Below are 21,128 nucleotides of genomic sequence, written 5' to 3' on the forward strand. Positions count from 1 at the left end.
TTTTAAAAAGTGTTTCTACTTTGGTTTGACTCTTTTTGCTTTAATATTTAAAAATTTGCTTAATATTTTTAAAATCTTTAATATTTAAAAATTTGCTTAATATTTTAAAAATCTTAATATTTTAAAAATCTTTACAGTTAATTCACCATTTAAACTATTAACATATGTTTATGTTTGTGCTCCTTTAATCATTACTTAAAAATATTTACTAAGTAACATATTTCTAAGAATCATCCTTCACAAGTTTTACGCTGCAAAGACACCATCCCTCCTCTTGGCCTCCCTCAGTTTCACCCTTACTTGTTGTTTTCTTCTGTGCCCCCACCTCCACATGCCTTCGGCAGAAACAAGCAAATGTGCTATTGCATAGATAATCTCAGTATCTCACTTGATCACCCTTTGCTTTATGATAGTTTTTCATTACCATCTTTCTTTTTCCTCCAGCTCAGCCAGACCTCATACTTCCCCAAGCTGTTGCTTTGGCTCTTCCTTCTGTCTCAAATGCCCAATGCCCAGGTATCTGCTTAGTCGACCTTCATTTACCGCCTTAAGATTTTCAATGAGCTCTTGCCACCTTAGTTAACACTATCATTTCCATTCCCTCCCTGGTGCCACATTTTTTTTTCTTCCATAGCATTTATCACTTTCTCACATGCTACGCAACTTCATCATGTGTTATACATATTATTTATTCTTTGTTTCCCCAATAGAATATAAGCTGTACAAGAGCAGGGATCTTTGTCTTTGTGGTTAATAGGTGTATCCTAAGTGCCGGGATAGTGATGGGACCATATTACATCTGTTTACCTATTTTTGAATAGATGCATGAACATACATTTTTTTTAAATTAATCAATATGTCATATGTCAGTTGAGTACTACCCACTACTAATGACTGGTTTATGTTACCTTCAATATTATTTCAAAATCTATAAGCTTCTAAGAACCTCTTCACAGTTTGTCAAATATGGAAATTTATAAAAATTTACTTGGCTGTTTTTCTCAGAAGTGTATAGTAATTGATAACTTACAGTATATTCCTCATACTTTTATAATTTCTGTATTTATAATAACTAGCATTAGTATCTTTTATTTTTATTATTATAAAACAATATTTTCTGTTAGCAAGAAAGAGGCAGTTAACTATTCTGTAAGTAGGTGAAAACTATTCAATGAGACTATTAATTGAAGTACCTTTCTTCTCTTATACCCATGTCACTTTTTAAAGGTTTTCATAGTATTAGATCTGCAAAGTTCTAACTTATTGTAATTGAGTCAGGGAGCAAACTGACTTCTCACTAATTTACTTATGACTGAAACATCATTTTCAGAACCTGAAGTCACACCCAAGCCATCAAGGTACGTATTTAGTATCTGTTATTTACTGGTCAAATGCCTAAGGTGAAAGAAATACCAGTTGGAATGCTGAACTTGAGAATTTAAATCTTTGAACTGCCATCATATTATCTTCTATAGGATACGTAAATATTAACTGGTATAGTGATTTACAATTATTGGAAGGCTACCATTTGCTAATTTACCATTAGAAATATTGTTCCTTTTGGAAAGTAGATTGCAGAGTCATTGATATGTTAATTAAATTATTTGGCAACTGTTACATGTCAATACAATGACAGAGAAATTATCAAAAAATGACTCGTATATTAGCAGTTTTTGTCTTTGCTAACACTTATACACAAATAATGAATATTTCAAAAATCATAAGTGAATTGTGAATACTTGTTTTTAATGTCTAGCTAGTCTCACATGACTCTAATAAAACAATAAAATAACTCACTTTAGGTCATTTTGCTAATGCTACATGACGTCGATGTTAGAAGGAAAATTGTTCATCATGCCACTTCAAGGCAGATCCACAGGAGTTATATTTTACTTCTGGTGGTAACTATGGTTTTTTTTCAGCTTGTAATTGAATAAAATGTCAAGAAAGAGAATGCCTCTAAGTAAAATACAATACACATTAACTCAAAATTTACTAAAAAAAAAAATGCTAACTTGCTGTTTTCCTAATATGGATCATAGGTTTACTTAAGGGTACTGAAAGCAGAAATGGTATTACATGTTGTCAAGAGGGCAAAAATTGTTGAAACATGTCGCCTCATAAAGGAGAACAGGAATGTTTTACTTATAAAATTATATGTATGGAAAGGAAAAACAAATCTGTTAAATGATATAGCAGAACATCTTTCTACACTTGCAATTGTATTTTCAAATTTCATAAAAATTCATTATTATAGACCTGGACCACATAGGTAATAGTTAAATTTTACATTTAGAAGAGTTGTGCTTATTAATTTTTTCATTGTCATAAATAATTATAATATAATTTCTAATATTCTAATATCTGGGACAAAGAAACAAAAAGAAATCTTCTATTTTGTGGAATTGAGAGGGTTGATATTAAAAATAGGTTGGAACTCTGATTTAAAGAACTGATTAAATAGTTAGATATTGGTCATGAGGGGATGGGGGAGACTTAAGATTGCTTGCAGGCATGAAACCTAGGTGACTAGTGAAGTGATTGTGCCATTCTCTCAGATAAATAAAAATGATAACGTAAGGTGCATGAGCAAAAATGGGTGAAGGTGTTTATGAAGCAAGCAGGAAGGGGTGACATAGGACTCTGAAATATGCAGATCTGGAGCTGTGGAGAAAGATAGGAAAGAAATGATCTGAGCCATTAACTGAAGCAAGAGAGAGGATGGAGAGAGGGAGGGAGGAAGTGGGAAAGACAGAGAGAGAGACAGACAGGGGTGCGGGGAGAGAATATAGATGAGAGAAAAATTGAGTCACAGAAAGAAACGTTTCAAAGTGGTGCTGAAGTATCAGCTGAAGTCATTGCTTTAACATAAATTTACTTTGCACTGTACACACTAAAGACCTGAGAAAATGGTTATTTTTTTTCCATGACACCAGAGCAAATATGCAAGAAAGAGAAGGAAAGTGAAGATGCCAAACACATTGGAAAAAGGCTGGTGGACAAAAGGAATGAAGCGCTTTGAGAAAGGAAAGGGAAAGGAAACAAGTATAATAAAAAATCAGCTGAGAGAAATGGAAGGGTGGAAAAATATCAATAGACTGGATGAGGTGGCTCACGCCTGTAATCCCAGAACTTTGGGAAGTCAAGGCGGGCAGAACACGAGGTCAGGAGTTCGAGACCAGCCTGGTCAAGATGATGAAACCCCGTCTCTACTGTAGATACAAAAAATTAGCTGGGTATGGTGGCAGCTACTCAGGAGGCTGAGGCAGGAGAATCGCTTGAACTCGGGAGGCAGAGGCGGAGGCTGCAGTGAGCCAAGATCGTGCCATTGTACTCCAGCCTGGGTGACAGGGCTACACTCCATATCAAAAAAAAAAAAAAAAAAAAAAAAAAGAAAGAAAAACAATAGTATTGGTGAGTTTGAAGAATATTTTAAAGGGAAAGTAAGAAAGTAGCGAGCACACAAAAAATAAGACATCTTGTTGGATAATGGTCTATTTCTTGTTATATACAGTTTTAGAGAAGGAATAGGAATTTCATAAGAAATTTGAGAAGACAGATTGGATCTGCAGCCATCAACTAAGGTACCCACACTCAAGTCTGATGTTGAACGACTTTTGTGTATCCAGTTATCTGAAGACAGAACAGATAACCAACTATCTGGGGACTCTCCTTCTAGCTGGGGTACTTAAATACAGCCATTTATGATTATAAGAAGTTTTGAAAAAGTAAGAACTTCCTTTCCAACTGAACAGAGAAAAAAGAGAACTTTAGGGACCTACTTTTGTTTGTTAGAGTATAAGAAATAAAGTGGTTTTGCTAGATGAGCGTAAGAGGTCAAGTCCTGTGGGTCCACGTGGTTGTTTGTGCCAAGGCTGTATAGAAAAAGAATGTTGGCCAAATAGCAAACTCCTTGGTGAATGGCGTCGAGAAACCAGGAAGTGTGTTGGTGTCAATTACAAAATAAGAAAAGTATAGTTAGTATCAATATTCAGAAACTTAAATAAGGATAATTTCATGGCCAAATGAAAAAAAATCATCATTGAGAGAAAGCAACACAGAGCATCACTGTCTATGTTCTGCAGTGTGTCATGTCATGAGCACCCTTACTACAGAGACTGACAGGAATAAGAGGCAAGTTCGAACAGAGGGTCTTCAACTTCCCAAGTGACATTTTAAAGGTCCCAGCTGATGTCATGTGCCTGACAAGTTAATAGACATTAACCTGTGAGCAGTACAAGAAATAATCTTCTTGAGAACATGCCCTGGTGTCTCCAGAAAAAAATTTTAGTAACAAGAGGGGTTGTGTGTCGTGTAGAATGTGGACTCATCTTATGGACTTCTCTCTACTAATGGGGCCTAGGGATCTCACAATTTCATATTGAGGGACAGGCATGCCTTTAGAGAAGATTGTGAAAGTGGCCTTTCAGAGGAACTCTTCCCATACAGTGGACAGCAAGATTTGCAGATTTGTTCCATGAGTCATCCCAGGTTGCTTCCTGTCTCATCCTCCAGAACTAACTGCTAGTAGTTACCTGTATAAATAGTTGAATCTTCTCCCTCTTCTCCATGTCCACTTTATTTCCTCAGTTGTCCTCTTGATGTCTCACCTGGACTATTGTAGTAGCTTCCAGGTTGATCTACCTCTGCATATACATGCTCATAGCTTTGTATCTGTTTTGAACTGAAAAGTTTTATAGAAAGGAACAATGAAATGATTGAGCCTGACAAGGACAGAGGATGGCCAGTGAAGGGACACTGTGTACCCTCCAGTATAGTCATTTTAAACTACCACCTATCACTTTGGACCAATTTTCCCATATCTGACTCCAATTGCCATTTTCTATTCTTTAGATTTTATTAAAAAAAAAAAAAGCATAGAGAGAAGGCTAATTTATCACTACCCTGGAGTGATTTCTTAGGGGAAAAACACCTGCAATACTTGTATTTTCAAAAGAGAAGACTGTTTAAAGTTTTTTTTTTTGGAGATAAATACTTCAGATGTGCAACATGGTACACATAAAAAGAATATCATATTATAAATAACAAACTTCATATTCTTGTTGTTTTCCTTTCTATATCTTACCTCTTGCTCTCTCAGAGATGTTCACATCAGGAACAAATAAATGAAAGGAAAGACTAAAATAAAATTAAAGAAGAAAATAAGATATATACATCTATGTGTGTGCATGTCTGTGTTGTGTTGTTAGCTTTTGACATGTAATAACTCTCCCCAAAATCTAATGGGTTAAGATGATAACTAATTATTTAGCTCACAATTCTTCTTTCTTGTACTTTTGACCTAATCTGGGCTTGGCTAATCTCGTTCACTCATCATCTGCAGTCGGTTGGCAGGTCAGCTCAGGGTGGCTGGTTCAGGATACATTGCTTCACACTCATGTCAGCAGGTTATGTAACTGCCATCAAGAGCAAAAGGAGAGACTGGACCATGTGTCACTCATAATCCAACAGACCGTTTCAGTCTGCTCATGCAGCAGCAAAATTCCAAAGGCAGCAAGAGGTTTTCCAAATCTCTCCTTTCATCAAGTCAGCTTCTGCCTCACGGGCCAAAGTCCAGAATTAGTGTGAAGGGCACAACCCAATGTGTGTATCCATTTAAAGAGCATCAAATTAATATGCTACAAAAGAATAAACTTAATAAATGTTGTGAAAAACATCTACAATAGAAACCAAAACATTGCTTTGTTAAATTAATGGAGATCAAAATAAATGGAGACATATTCTATGTTCATGTTTTAGGAGTCAATGCTGTAAAATGTAATTTCTCTCCAAAGTAATCAGTGAAATTAACACAATCCCAGTCACAAACGCAGCAGATTTTTTTTTTTTTGATGAACTTGGAAAGTTCTTCCTAAAATATGTATGAAAATTCAAAAATGTCCAGTTGTCTGGAAAAACAGTACTGTTGGGTAGCCTAAATTACCTGACATCAATAATTATTATAAACTAATTCTAATCAAGATTATACAGTGTTAGCATTAAGGAAGGAAAAATGGATTAATAGAACCAAATAGAGAATACAGAAATACAGCCACACTTACACGGCCACATGATATTTGACAAAGATTCCAAAGCAGCACAGAAGGAAAATAAAAGATTTTTCAGCAAATATTTCGTGACAGCTGGACATCCATATGGAATAAAATTAACCTTGAACTCTATCTCATTCTATGTACAAAAAGTAGACCATATGCCTAAACTTAAAAGCTAAAGCAAAAGGAGCTTAGGAGAAAACTAGTTTAGTAGGTTTTTGCCATAATTTCTAGTAGACAACATTTTCCTAGGACACAAAATGTAGTAAAAATAAGGGAAAAATGGATAACTTAGACTTCATCAAAACTAAACAATTTGCTCATCAATCGTCACCCTTAAAAATATATAAGAAAGTCACATTCTAGGAGAAAATATATGCACAACATAGTCTAGAAACATCCCCAATGGGCAAAAATTTGAACTGTTTCATTAAAATATGTAAATGACTAATAAGCACTTTAAAAATGCTCATGCTCAACACCATTAGTCATAAAAGAAATGCAATTTAAACCACACCAAGCTACAAATCCCACAGAAAAGCTAAAATGAAAAAGACTGAATGTACAAATGTTGGCAAGGCTGTGGAACAACCAGAACTCTCATCCATTGTTAGTGAGAATCCCACAGAGTATAGAAGTTAATTATTGTATGCCTATAAAAGATCTTTAACAAGCAGAATTCATTTAATGTTAAAAATTCTTCAACTTGCACTTAGCATTCTATTATCATTTTTCTTTTCGTATCCTAAATGCTCGTTTCTGATTTATTACAGGAAGCTGTATTCTCAACACCACTGGTGGCCTTGATGTGTACATGCACATGAGACAGATCCTTATTAACTCTTTAGAAACTTTCAGTGATACTGGAAATAGGAAAACCTTTAATTTGCTCATTTATTTGTGTATTTTCTGTGTACTAAACTTGCTACTGAAGACAACATTCTATTTTATGTCACCTAAACCTCATGCCATCCAAGTAAATTACTGGTAAATTCTTCATCCCAAAGGATGATTCCTGCTTAATTTATATAAACAGAAAACTTCTAGGTTTAGTGGACAAAAGACTAATTTGAATTATGAAAACAGAGAATCACAGCCCCTCAATCAATTTCCAGACTTGAGCCAGTTTACAAACCCAGAATCCCTTGAATGAAGGGGAGGCCGGGTCCCCTTGAGAAGGACCCCACTGCACTACTGACAATTTATTCTGTTAATTTTTCCACTAGCCATCCCCAAGGAGACCTCCAGCCTTCTACCAGGGTAACTGTGCACTGGGGAAAGGGAAATGATCAGACATTTTGGGGACTATTGGACTACTGGACTACTGACACTGATTCCAGGGGACCCAAAACATCATTGTGGTCCTCCAGTTAAGGTAGGGGTTCCTGGAGGTCAGAAAATTAATGGAGTTTTAGCTCAGTTCCGACTTACAGTGGGTCTCCAAACTCATCCTGTGGTCATTTCCCCAGTGCCAGACTGCATAGTTGGCATGGATATACTTAGCAGCTGGCAGAAACCCCACATTGGCTCCTTGAGTGGTAGGGTGAGGGCTATTATGGTGGGAAAATCCAAATGGAAACCATTAGAGTTACTGATACCTAGAAAATTCGTAAATCAAAACCAATATCGCATCCTTGGAGGGACTGCAGAGATCAGTGCCACCATCAAGGACTTGAAAGAAGCAGAGGTGGTGATTCCCACCACATCCCCATTCAACTCTCCCATTTGGCCTGTGCAGAAGATAGATGGATCTTGGAGACACCATAAGCAGAAAATGCAGTTTTTTTCTTCTTTGACTTCTGGTTTACAGAACTGTGAGATGATAAATTAGTGTTTGTTTTGTTTTGTTTTGTTTTGTTTTGTTTTGTTTGAGACAGAGTTTCTCTCTTTTCGCCCAGGCTGGAGTGCAATGGTGCAATCTTGACTCACTGCAACCTCCGCCTCCCAGGTTCAAGTGATACTCCTGCCTCAGCCTCCTGAATAGCTGGGGATTACATGATTACATGCATGTGCCACCACGCCCGGCTAATTTTATATTTTTAGTAGAGACGGAGTTTCTCCATGTTGGTCAGGCTGGTCTTGAACTCCTGACATCAGAGTGTTAAGTTTCCAAATTTTGATGATTTGTTATGTAGCAAAAGAAAACTACTACAGGCTCATAGAGCACAAAATAAAAGCTGATTGTATTGCCTTCAGAACCAAATATGGCTTCACCAAAGAGAGGAATGTTTAACTGTGTCTTTGAAATGAGCACTAGTTCCTTAGTTGGAGATGGCAACAAAGTCAGGAAGGAAAGTGAGCATGGTGCATTCAGACATCACAGACTTGAGGGCTGTGACTGAGGAATAAGAATCCTAAGGTTCAGTGGCAGAAGGTGGGATCTCTAATGTTGGTTGAGAATATGTTGCAAAGGAGTTTCTAATGATATACTAATAGATGTATACCTCTCGGAAATAAACAGCCATGAACACCATTTAATTACTTATTTTACAGAGGAGTGGCATGGTTCTGTGTGAGGAAATTACCACTAGCTCAAAGCAAGGATGGAGAAAAGTGAGTGTTGTCATTTTAAACTAGTTAATATGGTTTAGAGATTATCAGTGATAAGCAAAGCTACACAGACACTAAACATATTTTTTTCTAAATTTCGACAGAATATTATGTTAATTGGATTTACTTTTTCTGGGCTCTGTTGTCTTTGTCTACAATTTACAGGTGACTGCAAAACATAAAATTATAGTGTCCAAGCATACAATATTTTTATATTGCTACCAGTAGTTAGTACAAAAAAATTTGATGGCATAAACATAAAGCATGCATTACTTGTAGTCTACAAGTCATCTGGAGAAATCTCTGGGCCTTGACTGGGCTTACTTATGTGTCTGTGTGCAGCTGTAGGTGCACACCTAAGCTGACTACTCTTGGGCTCTGTCACATATTTTGCTATAGTTTATTAGACAGCCTCATCTAGAAAAACTGACCTCCACTCCAAGATGCCTTTTATTATCCTGCAAGCTATGTCTGCCTCTTTATCAAGGTTAGCCTTATAAATGACAGAACATCACTATCTCTATGTTCTATTGAAAGAAATAAGTCACAAAGTTGGCTCAAATTAAAGCCTTTAGAAAACTGATTTTGCCATTTGTGATAGTGGACAAAGTCCTATTGCAAAAGATTGTGGATGCAGGAAGGCATAACAATCTGGGTCACAATCAATCCACAATAGTATCTGTTTTCACTTTTCAAGTAAATCCCTACATGGTGATCATAAAAACAAATGCTCTCAGGATAAAGCAGAGAACGTGTGATATGAAAGAATTTGAACAATAGAGACATATGATGGCAAAATGGTAAGTAGATGGCTCTGCAAACACATTTCAAAACACAACTCCAAAAATAGTTGTTCTAGCTAAAGAAACACCTTTGAAGGAAATTTTGAGCCTTTGTTTATAATATTTCTTATTAAAGAAAGGCTATTTCGATCATAGAATATTACTTTGAACCACATAATTTGTGAATATCCATATTTAATAGTTTACTATCTAATATTTTAGTCTACAACACAATAAATTGTACAGTGTAATAATTTATTTTATTTTTATCCCACTGCAAGTTTCACCCCTCCCTCAACCTGCTCACCATTGTTTAGTTTTATTATGCATTGTGAAATAATTACTCAAGCATAACATTTTTAATTTACTTATTTTGAGGATTGTATTAGTCCATTTTCACACTGCTATAAAGAACTACCTGAAACTGGGTAATTCATAAATTGACATAATTGTGAGCTTATTTGACTCACAGTTCTGCATGGCTGGGGAGGCCTCAGGAAACTTACAATCATGGCAGAAGGTGAAAGCAAGCACCTTCTTCACAAGGTGACAGGAGAAAGAGTGAAGGAGGAATGCCACACACTTTTAAACCATCAGATCTAGGGAGAACTCACTCACTATCTTAAGAACAGCAAGGAGGAAATCTGCCCCATGATTCAATCACCTTCCAGCGGTCCCCTCCTACCATTTGACAAGAGATTTGAGTGGGGACACAAATCCAAACCATACCAAGGATTAATTGTAATGTGATCAACATACTTTAAGATGTATATCCATGCATTCTTCTTTTCAATTTTATCTTTCTAGTTATTGAAAAAAATTCCACATTTATTGTTCTGCTACTGACTGGATCCAATTAGAATTGCAAAGCAAAATGCTTAGGATACTTAAAAGTGATATAAATGTTAGAATACTTTTTCTGAAAGCAGCTCCATAATACTGGATAATTACACAAATTAAAAAAAAAGTTGTAGTGTCAATAGCAGACTCTTGAATTTTTTTTAATAGGGACTTAGCAGAAACAATTTTTGCTCTGTCTTTCAATATACAGAATATAGTTACGGTTTGAATGTGTTCCCAAAAAGCATATATTGGAAACTTAATTTCCAGGTGCAGGTGATGAGATCATAAGGGCTCTACCCTCATAAATGAATTGACATTCATATTACAGTAATAAGTTCTTTATCATGAGAGTATGCCTGCTATAAAAGCAAGTTCCACCCCCTCTGACTCACTTGTGCTTTCTTGCCCTTCCGCCTTCTGCTATGAGATGACAGCAGGAATACATTTGCAAGATGGGGGTTCCTTGATATTAGACTTCCCACCCTCTAGAACTGTAAGGAATACATTTATTTCCCTTATAAATTACCCAATACCATGTATTCTGTTATAGTAACACAAAATGGACTAAGACAAAAGTTGTATAATCTAACATTAACAGGCAGCCCACCAGAGACTATATCCAACAAAGTATATAGCAGCTCCACACAATGGAACATGGGCCATATGACACATGAAGTAAATAGTAGCCATGTATTTACATGTTCCAAAGCCATTTGATTTATCTTCAAAATTCTAGAGATCTAGACTACTGAGATCTTGTTTGAAACAGAAACAGAATATTGGCCTTAACAGTTAGTAAACTATAGTGAGACCCGGAGCAAGGTATTTCCCCCAATGCAAGTATATATATCTCTTTTTATTAAATTGTGTCTCCTCATTGTGCATGTACTTCATTTTATTAGTTACTTTAAAAAGTACTATTTGTTTAATTAAGAAATTTCTTCTTGGCAAGTCTGAACCTCAGCTATTGCAAACCTTTAGTAATTACTCAAATCACAACTAAAGATTTTTAATACTGACTATATATTCAGATATAAAGATTCTTGATTTAGAGCAATGTCATTATTTAAAATATTGCTATGAGCACTTCAATACAACTTTAATTCTCCATGATATCATTTTGACTAGGGAATGTATGAAATACAGTTACCTAAACTCCTTACAATGGTAAATAATTACGATTTGGCTCCACATTTCTAGGAACTTAGTTTATTTTGAAAAGTTGAGAAACATCCCAATTTTCTATGCTTTCATTTTGCAATTTTTCCAATAGTTGGGAGAACCTATGTGGGTAATTGGAAAAACAGTAACACATTTTTCCTAATTGTTTTTCTAGATCAGGCTGAGGATCACTTAACATTTTTATGATTCAAGATGATTCAGGATAGAAATCAAATGTGTCATCATAATAAATTTAATATTTTTACTAAACTACTTATTTAATATATAGCTTACATTTACCTTTTCTACAAAACATTCTTCGATTTATCTGGACCTGCGTGATGTTGCTAATAAGTGGTCACAGTATGTGCTATTCTAGTGTCTCTTCCACCTGTCTGAAGGCATTAATTTCTGATAGACGTACATACTTCAATGATGTCCAAACATTAAGAGCTGTAATTGTAACCTAAGAAGGTTGAGTATTAGAACATGAATCAACGAAGTCTGAGACTCTGTTTTTCACAAAATCATTATGAATTTTGATGATTCTAAATATTTAATACCCGATTTTCTTCTGTAAACCTAGAGGTAAGATTTTGTCACAAGACCTCTAGAAATTTCAACAGTAATTGTGCAGTGTGTTATATAAAATATGAGCTCAATGGTAGTGTTGATAATGTGCAGCATTATAAAGAGTTATGTTGTTTACAATGTAATTATGTATATTGTTGAATACAATACACCTGTCATTTATAATATAATTGCTTATAATGCTGCACATTATCAACAATACCATTGATGGTTTATATATATGTGTATATATATGTTCATTTATATTGATATATAATTTATGTGTTGTTCTGAGTTACCCAGATCTAAACACTTTGTGGTCTCCTAGAATATGCAACCTGCTACTGAAACGTGAATTCTGTCCCAAGCAAAGACACAACTAACAGAGATCCTTATTGTCAATTTTTTGGTGGTTTCCTAGTATAACTCACAAATAGCATTTACATATACATGATGCACATGTAGGAGATGATAGAATTTGCAAATATTCTAGCTTTTATTGTATGCCCTATGCATGAAAATTGTTTGATTTACTATTTGGCACATCACAAAATCATTATAGTTTTCAACATTATACTCTCCCCTGTAGTGGCCATCTTATAGATGTTTAATATATTTGAGATAGTAATTTTTTGTAAAAGCATACTTTGTGATAAATGCTGTCTTGTATTCAGGCCAACAAACTTTTATTATTTCTTTATTACATGGAATCAAAAACTTTAAAAATGTATTTCTTTAAAGTGTCTCTGTGATTTCCAAAGCTGGAGTCTACAATAACTGTTTCTGCTTCCATTGAGAAGGCTGTCAAGTTAAAACTATTTAAGTAATACAGACAGAGCAGGTTTTGTGTGGATGTAATTTCCACTTTTTTTTTTAACAGTTTATTGCCTGAGGAAAGGAAATATTTCACTAGAGTTGTCTAATACATACATAACACTGACTATATGACAAATACAGCAAAGGAATATTGAGCACATCCTTCTTATTTTTAAGACTCTAGCATGTTCAATTCACTTGTGGGAGCAACCAACTCACTGATTTTATACATAGCCATCAATGTTAATAAAAAGAAGTCTTAATATTTCTAGATAAAGACTAAGCAGTCACAAATCCATTGTTACTAATTATTATAACTCCTTTCTCTACATTCCACCCTGGAAATTAAGGGCTACTAATAAAGTATTGAAGCCTGGAAGACAATCAGAGCAGAAATATGAGGAAATTTCAGAACACTACAATAGGACCAGAGGGAGAAAAAAAAATAGAGAGAGAAAGCAGTTGTATCTGGGAAGGTGTTACACGGATGTCTTCCAAAACCAGAGGAAAACCTCGCTATGCTGAAAGTTCCAGAAATTTGTAACTTCATTGCCTAAGACCTCATATCCTAGGGAAATGCTAACCATGTGATTCACTGGACTCTCTGACATGAAATTCAATTCATCACTCTGATTTATTAAAATAACCTATGAGGGGAAAAGATTAAGCAACCTCAGATGAGATTTGGATGACATCCATAGCAGCTATTTATTATATTCAGAACAGACTTTTAACCAAAAATGTCAACTGCCAACAGCTGCTCTTATCAGGCAACACACACACACACACACATACACACAGCACAAACTATTTTAACTCTTATCAGTATCGCTAGATTTAAGAAAATGTACACCTTAAAAAACAGAAGAGTATCTGGTATAAAATGAAGGAAAAACAAAAGAAATTATATAATGAAAGATAATAATTTGCCACATTTACAATATATTAAGAGTTTTAAATTAGAGAACTAAAAGAATGGAGGGGAGAATTCCATTTAAAAATGGAATAAATTTTTCATCGTCTGAAGAAAGAAAAGAGTATTTCTGTTCTAGAGATCCAGTGTTAATAAGCAGTACGAATAAAAGAATCACACTTCAATACATCCTGGTTAGATTTGAACAGCAGTAATAAACAGGAAATTCCAAAAGCTCTCATGGTCAAATCTAGGACTGTGAGACATAAATTTCAAAACAGCTTTCTTTTAGACGGCACTTAAAACCATAGGTCTGGATGAGATCATATAGAGCTATTGTAGAGAAAGAGAAAAGAGCAGGGTCTGTATTTAAGCTCGGGGAAACTCCAAAATTCAGAAGTTGAAGACTAAAAACTACACAATAAAAATCATATTTAAAAAGTTACCCAAGAAAACTGATAATGTAGAAAGTAAAACAAAAAGTATATATTTAGATCGTGTATATATAATACATAGATGCATAATAAATTAACAAAGTTAAATTTGACTTTTTTGAGAAGATAAAAAAAAAGACCCCGAATATAATAAAAAAAGAAAGAAAAATAAAATAATTTTTATCAACCCAGATCATATAGATGTTAAGCAGATAATAAGATTACATTAGGAACAACTTATGCCGAAAAGTTAAGACAACTTTTTTTATATGAGATCCATAGATTCCTTGAAAAAACGAAACTCATCACAAGTGACATATGATGAAACAAAATGTAACTAGCCCCACAGAGCTCAAAAATTGAATTAATTATCAACAAATTTCCTTTAAGAAAACACCCAACCCAAATGGCTTAGTGCTGAATTCTACCAAATATTAAAGGAAAAATGGTACTAATTATTCATAAAGTTTTTCAGAAACTAAAAACAGAAATAATACTTCCTAACTCATTTCATATAGGACCAGTATAGGCATAAAAACCAAACCTGTTGAAAATGTTCAAACAAGAAAAGAAGCAAGCAAGCAAACAAATATCCCTCATGAATACAGATGCAAAAAAGCCTTCTCAAAATATTAACTGAGTCTATTAAGCAATATAGAAAATAATACTTGAATGATGTATATTCCTTTAGAGCTAAATGATGAGAACACATGACATATAGAGGGGAACAGCACACACTGGGGCTTTTGGAGGGTGGAGGAAAGGAGGAGGAAGATCAAGAACAATAACTAATGGGTACTAGGCTAAATACCTGGGTGATGAAATAATCTGTACAACAAACACCCATGACACACGTTTACCTATGTAACAAACCTGCACTTGCACCCCTGAGTTTAAAAGTTAAAAAAAGAAAAAAGAAAGAAAAAGAAAAAAAAATACTATACAATAAGCAATTAAAGGTTATCCTAGCCATGAAAGGTTAGTTTACATTTGAAAAATCAAAGAATGCAGTTAAGAATATTAATAGAATCAATGATAAAAACTATGATCATTTCAAAATATAGTATTTTTTAAATTCAACATGAAACTAAGAATATAAAGAAAATTCCTGAACATGATAAAGAGCATCTATGAAAATAAAAGTAATGAAAACTAGTATCACGCTTAGTGGTGAAAAACTGAATGCTTTCCCAATACGATAGATCAAAGATGTTCCAAGTTTGAACATTTAAAAAAATACAAAAAAATCTTCACAGAGCATACTCACATGAGGGTTTTATTTCGAGGTAATGGCTAGGGTATGGCAAAAAAAAAAAAAACAAAACAAAAAAAACAAAAAAACAAGAGTACAAGCAACATTGTGCATTTGAGAGATATCCAGGCACAGTCCCCCTGGGTGATTCTTATTTGTACATGGACACAGAAAGCTCTGTCTCCAGGTTGAACCCCCAATATTTGAATGAAGACCTTAGCTAGTGGAAGTTCCCCTCTGTCCCTCTGGTTATATAGCCATACAAGTCTGTATAACCAGTTATGTCAGGTGAAAGCCATCAAAAATAAAACTGGCCCTGGAGTTACCAGCAGTATTTTAAAATTTAACTGCATATCACAACTTTCATAGCCCTCAACTTGGTCAACAGTTAAAACCAGACATACATGTATTCCCAGAGATATGCCTGGATCTCTCCCGGTCCATCTGTAAAATGATAGTATCCTCCATAGTTAGAAGGTAAGTGTGTCCATTCTCACCACATCTGTGCCACATTAAGAGATCCTAGTCATTATAAAGAGTCAACGAAGAAAAATAAAAGGCATGAAATTTAAAAAGAAAGAAAAGTCCCTTCTTTACAGATGGAAGATTTAATGGTAGATTCCTTACTAGCAGTTTAATGGTAGATTCCTTACTATTCATATGTATACAGATTATTGTAACTTGTTCCTAGGTATACAGATTACTGTAACCTGTTCCAGTGTATACAGATCACTGTTACTATGTATACAGATGACTGTATACATAGGAATAGTAAGGAATCTACCATTAAACTTCTAGAAGTAGCAAGTGAATTCAGCAAGGTCAATAGATACAAGCTAATATACAAAAATCAATTGTGTTTGTATGTACTAGGAGCAAACAATTAGACAATTTAAATGCAAAGAGAGAGGATATTAAAGGTTGTCACCACGAGCATAAATATGTGAGGTACTGCATTTGTTAATTAGCTAGATTTAACCATTCTACAATGTATATATAATACAAAACAACATATCATGCACAATAAATATATACAATTTTATCTGTTGATGTTTTAAAAACATAAAAACAATGAGAATATTGTAGTAAAATAAAAATGGCACCAGTTCGATAATATCAACAAAAACTCAAAATGCATAAAAGTCAATTATACAAACAATATAAAATATTTACATTAAAAATATCTAAATTTTGCTGAGTGAATTTCTTTAAAAAGACACCAAGAATAAATGGGGAAATATATCATCTACATAGAATATTGTTGGGATATATACCTCACCTTAATTGAGCTAAAGGTTCAGTACAGTTCCAATAATAATTTCTCCTTCCATAATTTCCAAATCCAAGGATGTTTCCTGGATTTAACAGTGAATGATGTTTTGGATATCTAGTAAATGAGGAGAAATATGAGCATAATCAGATATGTGATTCAGGCAGAATTTTTAAATACTCCTTTAGCATTTGCCTCTGGTTCTATAAAAAAATACATAGGGTACTGTTGTCTTTAAATTTAAAAAATCCATCATTTTTAAAATAAATATTCATTCATCTACTCTGAATCATGTATAATGTCCAAAATAATAGTTAGAATTATTGCTATTACATAAAGTAACAACACTTAAAGCTGATATGAGGTCAATAAATATTATGTCACATGATAAAGGAAAAAAAATAAAATGAAGGCATTTTCTTAGTACAAGTAAATATATGCACAGAAATGTTTTTAACAAAAGGAATAGGAGATACTCATGATGTAGAAGATAAATACTGATACACAGAGCTTACATTCAAGAAGAAAATATGTATATTAATATAGTATCATGAGTTTCCAAGTGATATTTCCAAATAAAAGTAGAGAGAATTCTGTAGGTAGAGTCAACAAGACTTCATAGCTGATCACGTGTAGGAGTGACATGGTAAAAAAGTTAAGGATTACAATGACTACTTACTTCCTGTTACTCAACTAAATAAAAAGATACCATATATTAAGACGGAAAATGTGTTAGTCAGTTTGGGCTGCTATAAAAAACTACCATAGACTAGGTGGCTTAAACAACAAATATTTATTGCTTACAGTCATTATTGTGCCCTCACATTGTGGAGAGTAGAGGGAGAGGAAGCAAGCATTCTGATGTATTTTCTTTTAAGGGGGTTAGCCCCCATTCATGAGGTCTCCATCTTCATAGCCTAATTATCCCAAAGTTCCCATTTCCAAATATCATTACGCTGGGAATTAGGCTTCAACCCGGGAATTTTGGAGTAACACAAAACTTTCTGTTCATAACAAGGAAAAATAACATTCCTTGAAAAAAGTATATATATTATATTGTTATATTATTATATTATATATATTTGAAACATGTAAATTATCAGTGTTATATAAGTTATCCAAATGTATATGCATATTAGGTCAATGGATAAGTCAAGTCTGTCTGTATCTAAGAAAACTAATCTGGATCGGTGATATAGACTTTGATAATTGAAACTGTGGAAGTACTTAGATAACTTTTGCTAGAGATAAGTTGTAAAAGGACAAAAATAAAGAGCACAGGATAAATCACAGCAAGGCAACACTTTTAGTTAGATAAGAAAGTCTGGGAAAGTAAAAGACTGGAAGTTGTTGACTGGTCACAGGCAGAAGGAAAACTACGGCGTGTGATACCCTATTAGCTAAGAAAACCCAAGGATTTGAGAAGTTAAGAGGGTTAGGAGTGTTGAATACTATTGAGAATTAATGCAAGGTAAGGGATGAAAGGCAAACAAAAGATTCAATAACACTGACGGCAAGATTAGAACAGCTTTGGTGAAGTAATAAAATGAAAGGTGGATTAAAATGGATAATGAATTTTAAAAGAAAGGAATTTTGTGTTTTGTGTATAGACTGTCATTTCAAGAAGGTATACACAATGGGAGGAGCGAAAGTAGATTGCTGGTTTTATACTTGGGAATTGAGTATTTAAGTCATGGTGAGAACGAACTATTACAAAGGAAGAGTTTGAAAATGCTATAAATAGGGTAAATCATTATGTTATGTGTATTAGTCAGGGTTCTCTAGAGAGAGAAAACTAATAGGATATATAGGTCTATATCCACATAGATCTATACATAGATCTATATCCACGTAGATCTATACATAGATCTATATCCACGTAGATCTATACATAGATCTATATCCACGTAGATCTATACATAGATCTATATCCACGTAGATCTATATATAGATATGTATAAAGGGGAGTTTATTAAGGAGTATTAAAATCACATGATCACGAGATCCCACAGTAGGCTGCCTGCAAGCTGAGGAGTAAGGAAGCTAGTCCAAGTCGCAAAGCTGAAGAACTTGAAGTCTGATGTTTAAGCACAGGAAGCATCCAGCACAGCACAATGATGTAGCTGGGAGGCTAAGCCAGTCTAGTCTTTTCATGTTCTTCTTCCTGCTTTATATTCTGGCCATGCTGGCAGCTGATTAGATTGTGCCCACTTGGATTAAAGGTGGGTCTGCCTTTCCCAGATCACTGACTGAAATGTTAATCTCCTTTGGCAACACTCTCACAGACACACCCAGGATCAATACTTTGCATCCTTCCATCCAATCAAGTTGACACTCAGTATTAACCATCACAAGTCAACCCATTGTCAACTCGAACCCATACACTTCTCCTGAGATCATACAGAATGTTCAAATAAAAACAATAATAAAATAATAAGGTCATAATTATGCCTAATATATACAACTATTCTTCCTACAACAGGAAATGCACCAATCCCCAACCCAAATACTATTACATAAAGCTAACAACACTTAAATGCTGATAGAAAGCCAATAAATCTTATGTCACATGATAAAGGAAAAGGAAATAAAATGAAGTTATTTTCTTAGTACAAGTGTATACATTCACAAACACGTTTTTAACAAAATGAGGAGGAAATACTCATGACAATTACAGTCCTCAGTTCTTCAAATGGTCACGTGGTCATAGCCGGTATTGACTACCACCTGCTTGTACTACCCATTCTGTATTCCCTCTACCTTAAGCAAGCACCTCAGCAGGTCGTGGCTTTATTCCTGGTAGAGTCACCCAAACCTTCATTCCTGAAGGGTCTGGGCCATTTGTAGTCCTGCCTAGATTGGGTTGCTGTAGTTTCTCATTGACCTTTATCACAGGGCATGGTAATATTAAGAGTCGCTCCAAGGGATCTCCTGTATTCCACAATATGCTTCCTTACCTTCATTGTGGAGTAGTAGACTGATTTCATCTTGATAGTCCAGGCCAATCACACCAGCCAACACAGTAACTCCCTTCTTAGACTGTTGACTTAAAGGTTGGAGGAGCCCAAAGTGTCCAGATGGCAATCTTAACTTTTAGTTTAATGGAATCATTTTTGTGTCTCCTGGTGGCAGATTCCTCCCTCTGGAACTAAGGCCTCTAGGCCAGCAGAAGGTAATGTTGCAGGAATAGGAAACAAAAATTTTGCTAGTGGATAACTAGGGGTGATGGTGAGTGGTGCCACTTTCACTTCCACCCCATGATTTCTGGACCCATGAATCCTGGCTGTGGGAGAAATGGTACCATACATTGGACACAGATTCAGAGCATACACGGTCTTCTGGAGAACTTTGTCCCAGCCCTAAAAAGTATTGTCACCTAGTTGGCATTGTAATTGTGACTTCAAAAGGCCATTCCACTGTTCTATAAATCTACTGCTTCAGGATGATGGGGAACATAGTAAGACCAGTGAATTCCATGAGCCTGAGCCCACTGCTGCCCTTATTTAGCTGTAAAGTGAGTGTCTTGGTCAGAGGCAATGCTGTGTGGAATACCATGATGGTGGATAAGGCATTCCATGACTCCACAGATGGTAGTCTTGGCAGAAGCATTGTGTGCAGGATAGGCAAACCCTTATCCAGAGGAAGTGTCTATTCCAGTGAGCACAAACCTCTGCCCTTTCCATGATGGAAGAGGTCCAATATAATCAACCTTCCTCCAAGTAGCTGGCTGATCACCCTGAGGAATGGTGCCACACTGAGGGCTCAGTGTTGGTCTCTGCTGCTGACAAACTGGGCACTCAGCAGTAGCTGTAGTGAGGTCAGCTTTGGTGAGTGGAAGTCCATGTTGCTGAGCCCATATGTATCCTCTGTCCCTGCCACCATGGCCACTTTGTTAGTGAGCCCATTGTGCCATGACAGGGGTGGCTGGGAAAAGAGGCTGAGTGGTGTCCACAGAACGGGTGATCCTATCCACATGATTATTACAATTCTCCTCTACTGAGGTCATCCATTGGTGAGCACTCATGTGGGATACAAATATATTCACAGTTTTTGACCACTCAGAGAAGTCTATCCACATATCTCTTCCCCAGACTTCTTTGTCACCAATTTTCCAATCATGCTTCTTCCAAATCCCTGACCATCCCTCTAAAGCATTGGTTACAGCCCATACATTAGTATATAATTGCTCATTTGGCCATTTCTCCTTCCATGCAAAGTGTACAACCACGTGCATTGCTCGAAGTTCTGCCCACTGGGAAGATTTCCCTTCACCGCTGTCCTTCAGTTTGTCCTAGAAAGGGGCTGTAGTGCTGTCACTGTCCACTTTCAGATGGTGCCTACATATCATGCAGAACCATCTGTGAACCAGGCCCTAGTCTTCTCTTCCCGTCAACTGACCATAAGGAACTCCCAGTGAGGCCATTGGTGCAGGCTGGGGGAGAGAAGTCAGGGTGGCAGGAGTGGAGACTATGGGCATTTGAGCT

At 35.4% G+C, this 21,128-nt stretch overlaps 1 long non-coding RNA gene across 1 annotated transcript in view; it reads right to left on the reverse strand.

Moving 5' to 3' along the window:
• LINC02220 (long intergenic non-protein coding RNA 2220) overlaps positions 1-21,128 on the reverse strand; it is a 155,415-nt gene that overhangs the window by 19,939 nt on the left and 114,348 nt on the right. Inside the window, exons 3-4 of the long non-coding RNA NR_147005.1 lie at positions 16,654-16,761; positions 4,536-4,684 (exon numbers count right to left, since the gene is read on the reverse strand). This is a non-coding gene — a long non-coding RNA (long intergenic non-protein coding RNA 2220). The remainder of the gene's footprint in view (positions 1-4,535; positions 4,685-16,653; positions 16,762-21,128) is intronic.

The sequence above is a fragment of the Homo sapiens genome, chromosome 5 (genome assembly GCF_000001405.40).
Source record: "Homo sapiens chromosome 5, GRCh38.p14 Primary Assembly".
Lineage (NCBI taxonomy): Eukaryota > Metazoa > Chordata > Mammalia > Primates > Hominidae > Homo > Homo sapiens.